The sequence below is a fragment of the Homo sapiens genome, chromosome 8 (assembly GCF_000001405.40).
Source record: "Homo sapiens chromosome 8, GRCh38.p14 Primary Assembly".
Classification (NCBI taxonomy): domain Eukaryota; kingdom Metazoa; phylum Chordata; class Mammalia; order Primates; family Hominidae; genus Homo; species Homo sapiens.
The window spans coordinates 56,008,356-56,020,832 of record NC_000008.11 but is presented as its reverse complement, the minus strand read 5'-3'; the positions used below and the strand labels follow the sequence as shown (position 1 = coordinate 56,020,832).

Sequence of the window (12,477 nt, the reverse complement as noted above, 5' to 3'; positions counted from 1 at the left end):
TTCAAGTGATTCTCCTTCCTCAGCTTCCCCAGAAGCTGGGATTACAGGCACCTGCCATCATGCCCGGCTAATTTTTGTATTTTTGTAGAGATGGGGTTTCACCATGTTGGTCAGGCTGCTCTCGAACTCCTGACCTCAGGTGATCCAACCACCTCGGCCTCCCAAAGTGCTGGGATTACATGTGTGAGCCACTGTGCCTTGCCTCAAATCATTTTTCTGAGTTGAGATGCAACGGTCCCCAAACCAGGCAGAACAAGTCTTCAGTAAACCCAGGCTCAGGGAGGCTCACACGGGCCACCCAGGCCCCAGGCCTGTGGCTGGGCTGCAAAAGGGGCCATGGCAGTGACCAGGCTGTGAACTGTCCCCGCAGGAGGCCAGGGCTGAGTTGGGGAAAGCTTGGCGTCCTCACGCATCGGCGCAGTCTGATGTGCTCTGGTTGCCTCTGTTTTCTGAGAGACTGGGTGTTGTGGGCTGAATGTGTCCCCACGATTCATACATCAAAGTCCTCAGCTTCAGTGCCTCAGAATGTGACTGCATTTGGAGATAGGGTCTTTACAGCAGTCATTCAGTTCAAATGAGGTCATTTGGATGGGCCCTCATCTTCCAGGACTGGTGCTGTTATAAGAAGAGGGAATTTGGACACGACTCACACGAAGAGAAGACTGAGAAGCACAGGGAGAAGGCCTCGGGAGGGCTAGGCAGGGGCAGAGGCCGAGAAGAAAGCAGCCCTGCCTGCACCTTGATTTCCACTTGTAGCCTCCAGAACTGGGCAAGAATAAATGTCTATTGTTGAAGCCTCCTGGTCTGTGGTACTTTGTTATGGCAGCCCTAGCAAACTAAGATGCTGAGCTTCAGCAGAAGTCCTTGGTGCTGGCTGACATTGTTTTTACCACGAGCATCCTGGTAAAAAGATCCAGGATCGGAGGCGAGTGCTGTCTTGGAGATGGCCAGAGCACGGCTTCCACACTGGGCAGGATGTGCATGCTTGGCAGTGCACACCGATGGCTCAGAGCAACCACCAGGATGTCCCAGGGAAGCTACCACGGCTTTCTGCCAGTGTGTGGCTCTAATGGCACCACGGTGCAGGACTTCTATTCGCTCATTTCTCCCACACTTCCCTCAGCTGTTCTGAGCTGTTTGCTCTGTGTGTACGGTCAGTTCTGGGGCTTCCAGGATGCTGCGTGGCTGCCTCTGCTGCACAGATGGAGCCATCCACCGGCCCCACCTGAGGCCCAGCATCTCTGCCCTTCTCCTCTTCCTTCCTGGCTATCTCAGCAGGGACATTCCCTTTTCTCCCTTCTCTTTAACCCTTTGCAAGCCTTTCTTTCTGCTGCCACTTTGCAAAAATAGCTTGTTTCAGAGGCACTTTAAGTGCTGGGGGTGAGAGGCCAGTGTGGCCCAATCCCTGCCCTCAGGGAACTTACGCCCTTCTGAGGACAAAACCCCTCCCTGGTCTGCCCTGTTTTTGTTCCCCTGCCCTGCTGCTGCCTTTGACATGTGCCTTAAGCATGTTTTTTATTTCCTATATTCTGATGCTTTGACATTGGGGCCCTGCTGACCTGGAGATACTGCCCCTTCCAGGGTAGCGGACTCCTAGAGAGAGCAAACAACTCACCGGGGAGCTCACCACTCAAATGCAAAGCAACCAATCCGGAGCCGCCCATTCCCACCCCCTCCTCTGTGGGGTTCTACCTTTATCTGCCCTCCTAATCCCCCAGGGCCAGAACCAAGTGACTAGGGACAGCCCCTATGCCCCAGCCCTTAAACTATTCAAACCAGCCAACCCTGAATCTGCTTACCTGCTGGGTCCTTCCCGTGGAAACCACAATAAAAGCTCTTTCCCACATTTCCCCTTGGCTCCCTCTGCCTCCTGACCCACCCTGGTGCTTCCCTGTGTGGCCTGCATGGTGTGGTGAACCTCCTCCTCTTGAGAACTGTGAGTAGCAAACTCTCTTTTCAACAACAGTTGTCTCCTCATCTGTTGGTTTCACCACACCTGAGTAATAATAAAACCCACATGTAAACGCAGTGTCGAGCAGCCACTCCTCATGGAGCCCTTGCCCCGGGCCCTGGGGGCCAAAAAGTGGGTGGCCCGCACAGCAGAAATTCCTCCTCTCACAGTTCTGGGGACAGGGAGCCTGAGATCAAGGTGTCGGCAGGGTTGGTTTCTCTGAGGGCTTGAGGGAAGGTCTGTTCCAGCCTCTCTTCTTGGCTTGGCGATGGCCGTCTTCTCCCAGGCTCTTCACATAGTCTTCCTTCTATGTGCGTCTGACTCTTCCCATGGTTCTTTTCATAAGGACACCAGTCATACTGGATTAGGGGCCAGCCTACTCCAGTGTGACCTCATCTTAACCAGTTACATCTATATTAACCCTATTTGCAGGTAAGGTCACATAAGGTACTGGCAGTTAGGACTTCAGAACGTCATTTTTGGGGAACAAAATTCAACTCATAATAGCTGCCAACCCCAAAATCTAATTCCCTAGTTGAGTTTCTTCAGAGTTCTTATTTGAATACTAGAATCAATGTCATGATGGCTCCCGCAGAAGTCCCAGCTCACATCTGAAGTCCCTGCCTTAGGAGGCCGAGGCAGGAGGGTCACTTGAGCCCAGGAGTTTGAGGCTGTAGTGAGCTACGATTGCACCAGTGCACTTCAGTCCACTCCAGACACAGTGAGATCCTATCTCTAGAAAAATAAAAATAAGGCCGGGCTCAGTGGCTCACACCTGTAATCCCAGCACTTTGGGAGGCCGAGGCAGGTGGATCACAAGGTCAAGAGTTCGAGACCAGCCTGGCCAACGTGGTGAAACCTCGTCTCTACTAAAAATACAAAAATTAGCTGGGTGTGGTGGCGGGTGCCTGTAATCCCAGCTATTTGGGAGGCTGAGGCAGGAGAATCGCTTGAACCCAGGAGGTGGAAGTTGCAGTGAGCCAAGATCACGCCACTGCATTCTAGCCTGGGCGACAGAGGGAGACTCCATCTCAAATAAATAAATAAATACATACATACATAAATAAAATGTCACAGATGGCGGAGGTGTTAAAAACAAAACAAAACAAAAAACAAGCAGACTTTTGCACCCTACCCCAAATCCAGAGAAACTCAATCTCTGGGTGCTGGAGAACACCCTCAGAGGATCTGCTGCTAGAACATCTCCCACAGCAGGCCACATGGAGCTTGGGCTCTCATTTCTCCTCCATTGGGACCGCCATAATGGCCTCTTCATAGGATTTCCTTCAATCTCTCCCTCACACTGCCCACTGACTGGAATTCATAACATGCTTTTCCGACATTGCATCTTATTTAACATCTCGATTCAACAAACTTCTTGATTTCATGTCTTTATTTCACAAACATTGGCTTCACTATATGCCTGGCTTAAAATGAAATATCCTTGCATTTATTCCTCACAACAGCCCTATGAGGTAAGGACTCTCATCATCCCCACTTTGCAGCTGAGCACGATATGCAGAGCTGGGCTGGGACACCAGCAGTGTGGCTCTGGGCCATGGTGCGTCACCTCTGTGCTGCGCTCCTTGGAGAGGCCGTCCTCCACCGTGGAGTGCTGCCACCAGCACGGTATGAGAAGCTCACGCTCACCTGGGACAGTACCTTCTCTCCAAGGCGTGGCCTCACGCTGCCTTACCAGGTTTCCCGCCGCTCAGCACCTGGACATCCAGTGGGTCTGAAAGGGGGTCCCTGACTAGCAATGTCAGCTGCCATTCCTCACTTCCATTCCAGATCTACACCCCAGAGCAGAAACCCTGGTGGGGCGCCCAGCGATCCATTACAATGTGCCTTCCTGGCGTTTCAGAGGCAGGCTCCAGCCCTCATTCTACAAGTCTGGGGGGCTCTGTCCTTTGATGACCCCATATTTCCCTGCCCTCCTCCGCCCTGACTGTACTCCATTCCTGAAACTTCTCCTTGATGTCTCCTTTTTGGCTGCCACTGACCTGTCCATTCTTTAAGGCCAAACCTGAATGTCACTTTATTTAGGAAGCTTTTTTTTTTCTCCTTATCTCCTTTCCTGTCCTCCTAACCATACTTCATACCTATTTTTTTCTCCCTGTAACAGTTTCCTTGCTGTACCTTATGTCATTGTACTTGTCACCATAAAGCAGGCCATTTAAGGCCAATGTCTGTGTCCCTCACACACCTACTGCAGTTCCTGTGTTCCAGGAAGCACTGGATTAACCATTGTATGGAACCAATACCATTAGCCCACGGAGGACATGAGTTCAAGTTAAATTACAGTGACAGAAAAAGACCAGGGCAATTACTTTGAAAAAAAAAAAAAAGAGTTTTACAAAGCAGGTTTCAAAACATAATTCTTTGACAGAGCCAATGTTTTAAAATGATTTCATTGCTCTCTCCCATCGAATGGAGAAACTTCGGTGCTGTGGTATCTGGCAAGTCCTGTCCTTTCAGGCACAGCCCAACACTTACACCAAAGTGACTTGTCCAGGGCAGGTAAGACTGGAGGAGCTGCCATCAAGGCTTCAGACCTGAAGGTTATGCTCCTGTGTGGTCTGACTTCCATGTGACAGACGAGCATCTCTTCTTGGGTGTGGCCTTTCAGCGCTCCTAAGGTAGCCTAGGACTGCACTTCTTCACCATCTGAGCTCCCATAGCATGCTGGGAGCTCTTGTGGTCAGCTGAAACCACCAGATTCACCCCCCCGCCTCCGCTACTTGGACTGCTACATCTCAGACTACGCCAGGGCAGTATTTGATAAGAGATCATATGATTAATAGCATACATATATGATTAGCAGCATACATATTTTTGCATTTTTGAATGTGGATGTAAAAAATGGGTTTTTCTGGGCCACAATCTGGATGTCCTCCGTTTGAATCAAATCAACCCCTGAGACTAAAAGGTCTTGCATACTCTTCAAGCTGTTGGGGTGCAGGTCCACATGCCCTTATCCATAATGCCGAAATCCAAAAGACTCTACAAATCAAATGGTCTTTTAAGAACTCATTTGGTGGCAAAACCTGAGCCGAAGCTATTTATATGCTATAGTCAATTCCACTTAGTGTGAATATTCAGGCATTTTTATGCATATATGTTTTAATTAAAGATTTCTTCCTTGGCTGGGCGCGCTGGATCATGCCTGTAATCTCAGCACTTTGGGAGGCTGAGGCAGGCGGATCACCTGAGATCAGGAGTTCAAGACCAGCCTGGCCAACATGGTAAAACCCCATCTCTACTAAAAAATACAAAATTAGCTGGGCATGGCGGCACATGCCTGTAATCCCAGTTACTCGGGAGGCTGAGGCAGGAGAATCATCTGAGCCCGGGAGGTGGAGGTTGCAGTGAGCTGAGATCTTACCACTGCACTCAAGCTTGGGCGACAGAGCGAGACTCCATCTCAAAACAAAACAAAACAACAAAAAAGATTTCTTCATCAGTGTTCACTGAGGCTTTACCACCAAATATTCAATATACTCACTGTATTAATCTTTTCTTATTTGTTTTTATTTTTATTTATTTATTTATTTTGAGATGAAGCCTCGCTCTGTTGCTCAGGCTGGAGTGCCATGGCATGATCTCAGCTCACAGCAACCTCCGCCTCCCGGGTTCAAGCAATCCTCCTGCCTCAGCCTCCTGAGTAGCTGGGATTACAGGCATGTGCCACCATACCCAGCTAATTTTTTTTGTATTTTTAATAGAGACGGGGTTTCATCATGTTGTCCAAGCTGATCTCCAACTCCTGACCTTAGGTGATACACTCGCCTCGGCCTCCTGAAGTGCTGGGATTACAGGCATGAGCCACCGTGCTTGGCCCTAATCTTTTTTTAAAAAACCTGAAATCAAAAACATACCTGACCCTAAGGGTGGTAGATAAGGGATAAAGGACCTATCGTCAAAGCCCAGCGTAAGTCTAACAATAATAATAATAATAAAAAAATCACAGATAATTTTCTTGCTGTGTGACATGGTATCTACTTTTGGGGCTGTAGATTAAGGCCTCTTTTATTTCTAAAAGTTCTGCGTTAACATTGAACATTGGCCAATCTAGATTATTTCTAAAGTCCTTCCAAAGACCTAGAGATAGAGGCCGCCAAGATTCCCTGTCATTTCCCCCTTAAAGAGAAATATTCAAGATCTGTGAATATCTGTGGCCATCTCGGGAATTCTGTGACACTTTTTGGCACTCTGACTTGAAGTATTTAATAGATTTATCAGCACACAGGAAATTAAATTGGAAGGCTTTCCTCTTACACGTCTATCAAGTTAAAACTTTTCAGGATAAAATTTTTATCAGTTTTAGTAACATTCATGTTATGAAATGGAACATAAATGCTACTGAAACTTAATTTTTTTTTTTGTAGAGACAGGGTCTCATAATGTTGTCCTGGCTGGTCTCAAACTCCTGGCCTCAAGTGATCGTCCTGATTCAGCCCCTCCAAAGTATTGTGATTACAGGTGTGAGCCACTGTAGCTGGCCAAAACATTTTATTCTGAAGTGTAGTCTCTACAAATTGTCTTTAAAAGTGTGAATGGTAAGTTAAATTCTTGCATTACTTTTCTACCCAAATAAAATTACTTAAGGAAAAATTTCCCCTCCCATCTGTGTGGGCTCAAATGGTGCATCTTGTAAGTAATACCCTTGCTTACTCAGAACACTCAGCTGAGTCAGGGAGATTCTACACAAAGGTGTTTCACTGGTTTTATTTCACAAGGAAACAATATGAAGCGAAGCCAATCTATTCCTTCTGTGGCTTTAAATGCTCCCGATCTCTCAGCTGTGAAATAGTGATAGCATTGTCCAGATCTTCCAGGGTCGTTGTGTGAGTTAGAGATAATTTTTATCATTTGCCAAAGCACAAGAGGGCCCTGAGTAAAGAATGTGTGTATGGGTATCTTTGTATGTTTATAATTACCATTTCCATCAGGAAGAACAGCAAGACTTCACTTAATCTAAAATATTCGTGGAGTTAAAATGTAGGGAATAGAGAACTACGATCTCTCTTCCACCAGCCAGAAGTGGAAAATAAAGGAAGATGCTAAGAGGAAAGCTGGGCGGTTTGATCTCATCTGAGAGGTGTTCTTGGCTGAGGAAGCAGGAGATGTCCGACAACTGGCTGTGGAACCTGGCAGTGACATCAGAAGAGCTGGGGAGCGAGCCCTAGGACCAGCATTTAATTTATTTGAAGGTGTCAGAAGCTGAGGTTGCAGAATTGAGTCCTTTTAGCAGCTACCGCCCCTGGATGTAGTTTGTGAGAGGACGGGGAATAAAGAGAAAGCAGACCCCGACCGGGCACAGTGGCTCACACTTGTAATCCCAGCACTTTGGGAAGCCGAGGCAGGCGGATCGCCTGAGGTCAGGAGTTCGAGACCAGCCTGGCTAACATGGTGAAACCCCATCTCTACTAAAAATACAAAAATTAGCCAGGCGAGATGGTGTGTGCCTGTAGTTCCAGCTACTAGGGAGGCTGAGGCAGGAGAAGAATCGCTCCAACCAGAGAGGGGGAGGTTGCAATGAGCTGAGATCGCACCACTGCAACTCTAGCCTGCGTGACAGAGTGAGACTCTGTCAAAAAAAAAAAAAAAAGAGAGAGCGAGAAAGCAGACTCCACAAGCTGACGTGGAGATGAGTTTATACTTATGATGCTTTCAGTGCCCTCGATCTATCCCTGGTGTAGGCAACAAAATTAATTCCCTCCTTTTAGTTATTATCCTTTTATGCACCCTTGGGACAGCCAGGGCTGCTGGCTTCTGTGGCAGTGAATTTCCCCTAGAAGGGGGCTTGGACAGTACACGTTCCCAGTGGCTCATCAGAAGTACTTTCTGCAAGGGGATTCTGTGGAACCTCAGGAGGTATGCCTGGAGAAGCCACGGAAGCCCCAGGTGGCCCCTACTACTAAGGACACTGGTTTCTAGCCTGTGAGTCTCCTTTAGGTTCAGTGAGCTTCATGTTCACCAGGAAGGAAGGCACGTTTTTTTCCTCCTTCCTTCTCTTCCACTCCCCTTTGAGAAATGAAACCATCTGAGGAAAAAGAAGGCTGGGCTTTGTAATATGGGTCAAACCAAATGGTGACTCTCAAGACTGAGCATACATTATATTCACCAGGGAAGGGTTTTTTTGTTTTTTTGGTTTTTTTTTTTGAGACAGGGTCTCACTCTTGCCCAGGCTGGAGTGCAGTGGCACGATCATAGCTCACTGCAGCCTTGACTTCCTGGGCTCAAGCAATCCTCCCACCTCAGCCTCCTGAGTAGCTGGGACCATAGGTATGTGCCACCACACTTAGCTAATTTTTAAAATTTTTTGTAGAGACTTGCTATATTGCTCAGGCTGGTGTCTAACTCCTGAGCTCAAGCGATCCTCCTGCCTTAGCCTCCCAAAGTGCTGAGATTACAGGCATGAGCCACTGTGTCTAGCTGACTGGAGAAGCTTTTAAAATAGACTGACATACATCTCCCGCTGCACAACAGCTAAGTCAGAATCTTGGCGGTAGGGAGTATGGATTCTGTCTTTCCAGTTCTCTACAATAACCTGAGGTGTGATGACATGAGCCATTTTGCACACCACTGGATACCCGAAAATGCTACAAACACCTATTCAGCCCCTCATTATGCCTGTCTGTCACAGGGAGGCTGGAAACCTATAGCTAAGTAAGGAGACTGTGTGTGCTGTTCATCAAGGGAACGTGTGACTTCCACACATGCTGGACACCAGAGATGAGGCCCAAGCTGGTGAAGGGCCCACATGGAGGTAAGGATCACAGGCTTGATTGGGAGGGAAAGACAAGTGGAAAATGGCAAGAAGAGGAGGAACTGGGAGAAGCAAAACAAGGCGAAGATAAATTTAATAATTTTCTTTAAATAAATTTGTTATGCTAAAAAAAAAACCTCTAGTCATTTTCTAGAGACTTCTTTTTGCCTTAGGGATTCTTTATAGTTCCTCTCCATGTAACATATTGGGTAATACTTGTGGTTCTGAAATAAAATGCAAGCAGGGGGGTGTACACAAAAACCTTACCACTGAATCAAGGGACCAGCTGTGCAGACATTATGTAACAGTAATATTCTATAGTTCTGAACATGGCACTTGTGAATCAATAATTTTAGAATATTTTAGAAAGGACATTTAAAAAAATCACATAGGAAACAAAGTTAAAATTTAGAAAAAAGTAGAATATTTTATCCCATCTTCTAAGCACCTCAAGCCTAAACAAAACACACAGAATGAAATTTTAATGATGCCTGTTAAGCCTATTTGAAAACAAATTCTATCTGGCCCCCATAAACGGATGTTCAGGTGTTCAGGCAATCAACTCCTTGGTTCTCCAATCTGAAATGTTCAAAGGAAGGAGGTAGAACTTGGGCAAGTTTAAAGCATGTAGCTCTGTTGAATCACTTCTAACCACCCCGCCCCCAGCTGATGACCAATTTTTACACTGACCACAGCTGAAAATGTAAATGCAAATAAAAAGCTTGAGATGTTATTGGACGAGGTGTATTAAAATAAAATCAAAAATAGAAATATTAGGTATATACACAACAGCATAAGTGAAACACATCATGTGATACAGAAGTTTCCATTCAAAGCTTACAGGAGAAAAATTTAGTGAACAGAACCGCTTGAACCTCCTGCCACCGTGGCTTATTAGAGCCTTGTAGTCACTTATGTTCCTTCATATCCTTGGGTATAAATAGTCTCATACACATGCTACACAATTTAGAAAAGATTGCTGAATCATAAAAATAGCCCCGAATGTGGCACTTTAGCTTTCTAGAGTACAACTAAAATTAATACTTGATCTTTAACATAATGTTCAAATATTTGAAGCAACAAAGGAAACTCTTATGTTTTAGAAGGCCCTATAAGGTTCTTCAGAGATTAGAATCTTAGTTCTTCCAAACTACATTGTCAAAACAAATCTGGATATAGGAAATTGTGGAAATGAAAAAGCTGGACTCTTAAAAATATTCCTTCTAAACACAGAGCAGTTTCTGAGGCTCTTCTCCCTTTCCTGGGAGGTCCAGGTGAGCCCGGTGCCTTCGGGTGAGCAGACAGGGCAGCTGTGCGTGCTCACGGGCTCCTCCTGCTGGAAGAGAGAGAGATGTGCACGCCACTCCTATGGCATGTCTAGCAGGTCTGAGCAGTGTTCATAGAAGAAAAATGTTTTAACAGTCTCAGATTTTGGGAGGTAGGGGGAAAAAAATCATTGAAATCTGGGAAAGACATTTTTAAGCTGCTGACTTCACCTGCAAAATCTAACAGGTTGGATTAGTTTTTTTTTTTTTTTAAACAAGTAAGCCAAAGCACAAAGAAATGTCATGCTATGTATATATCCGGTTATTTTAGCTTTATAAATGAGTTTAGTTCTGCAATTATTGGGGATTCATTGCAATGGTCTCTGAAACTTTGAGTCCTATGTCCATTTGTAAACATAGAGCTAGTTGGGTGCATTTTTGGAGAGAATAGATGTTTTCTTCTCAAACGGCTGCACTCAGATGTTGTCAAGCAGAGCAAGATTACCAGCTGCTGAGGACAAGTCCAAGTTGCAACTGAGTGGAGAATCCATCTAAGAGTACAGAATACTTTCCCATTTAGAGGGTGTTCTTCCTGAGTAATTTAGCCTCTATTTCAGGATCCAGGCACGGCAGATGATCCCCGCACATGAAATCATAAGTGCAACCAGTGATGGTTACTTTTCCTCTCTAAATGAGGCAGCCACCCCTGCCAAATGGACGGGTCTCCCTGTGCTCTAAGGCTGCTGCTGGTATTGCCCTTCCGTGGCTGTGTAGAAATCATCCAGGACGCTCTGTAAGTAGTCAAACGTTGGTCTCTCTTCTGCCTTTTCTTTCCAGCACATTTTCATAATGTCATAGAGCTCATCTGGGCAGTTCTCCACACGGGGCATCCTGTAGCCCTGGGACAGGGCGGTCATCACGTCGGCATTAGTTCTCCCTAGGGTGGAAAAAAACAAAAAGAACAGAAACCCATGCCGTTTAGAAACCTGGCAGAGGGTCAAGCACTGCAGTGGTCTTTTTGCTCCTCACATCCTGTAACCATGATTGAAACAAGCTTTACTGAGGCTGTTAGGGGTTGAACAGCATCCTCCCAAAATTCCTAGGTTGAAGTCCTAACCCCGCGTACACCTCAGAATTGACAGCACCATATTTAGAGATAAGGCCTTTATAGAGGTAACTAAGTTAAAATGAGGCCATTTGGGTAGGTCTTAATCCAATATGACTAGTATCCTTATAAGAGGAGATTAGAACACAGACTAGTATAGGGGAAAGACCATGTGAAGACACAGGGAGGAGGCAGCCATCTACAAGTCCAGGAGAGAGGCCTCAGGAGAAATCAACCTGGCTAGCACCTTGACCTTGGACTTTGAAACTCCAGAACCCCGGAAAAATAAACGTCTGTTGTTTAAATTACCCAGTGTGTTGTATTGTTATGGCAGCCCTTGCCAACTAATATAGAAGCTAAGGAAATTTCTGCAAGCAACTCAATAAATAAATTTAGCATGGAGGGGATCAAGACAGCATTCAGTTTGCCAAAATTTGTTAAGTAGGAGCCACAGCCAAGTTCTCTTTAATAACAAAAGGATATTGGACTTGCCTCACATTTCAAATAAATCACCCAAATCTAATCCTAACTCTCAACTTTAATTATGTTTGCAGGGTAGCATGCTTTCAGCTTCAACTTGTAGTATATTTATGAAAAAAATAATTTTACCACATATTATCTTATACGGACATTTTTCAAAAATTGGCTTTTCATTTAATAATTGGTATTTTCATTTACTTAAAGTCAGCACCCTTAAGTCAGCCCAACAAATTGGTTACATGCTTGCCAAATAGTTAAAAACTTAGGGATTAATTTGGAAAATAATGATGGTTCAGTTAATCTGAAGGACACTTGTCTGTAGTTTGTGCTACATATCTTGTGGATGTCACTGTCTTTTAAGAGCAAGATATTAATTGAGGAGGAAAACTGAACCCCAATCATAGTCTCAAGTGGAGCTACTTCACAGACGCAGTTAACTGTTCCAATCTGCAGTACCTGGCCAGAGTGACAGCTCACTCTGACTCTGGATTTGCATATTCCTGACCTCCAGGAGAGAAGTAAGGTGCTCATTACTCCTCTAGAGCTCTGCAAAAGGCCTGGTAATAGAGAATGTTTTTAATGTGGTCAAATGTCTCAGGGTAATTCAGAAGCTGAACTGTCAATCTTTGATCCTGAGAATAGCTTTAAAGGGTAAAAAAGATCATTATAATAATAACATTTTCCTGCATGATAAAGGAGATTAATCCTTCAATTATGTGCTCATCTAGCAGTATCTATCCACACCTGTATGTTTTGCATATTTCATGGATACCCTGTTCTGTAGGATGTGAACTTCTCTAGAGAAGAATGTATGTCATGCAAAGTATATACAATATCTGGCATATGAGAGGGGCTCCATTCCTCACAACGAATTTCCTTTCCATAGCTATCTCTTTTTCAAAGC

General features: G+C 45.3%; 1 protein-coding gene across 3 annotated transcripts in view; it reads right to left on the bottom strand.

The window, feature by feature from the left end:
- Positions 6,664 to 12,477, bottom strand: part of LYN (LYN proto-oncogene, Src family tyrosine kinase) — a 134,335-nt gene continuing 128,521 nt past the window's right edge. For all 3 annotated transcript variants that reach the window (NM_002350.4, NM_001111097.3, XM_011517529.4), the window contains one exon: positions 6,664 to 10,925. In NM_002350.4, the coding sequence (NP_002341.1) occupies positions 10,723 to 10,925 (203 nt within the window). In that variant the 3' untranslated portion in view covers positions 6,664 to 10,722. The remainder of the gene's footprint in view (positions 10,926 to 12,477) is intronic.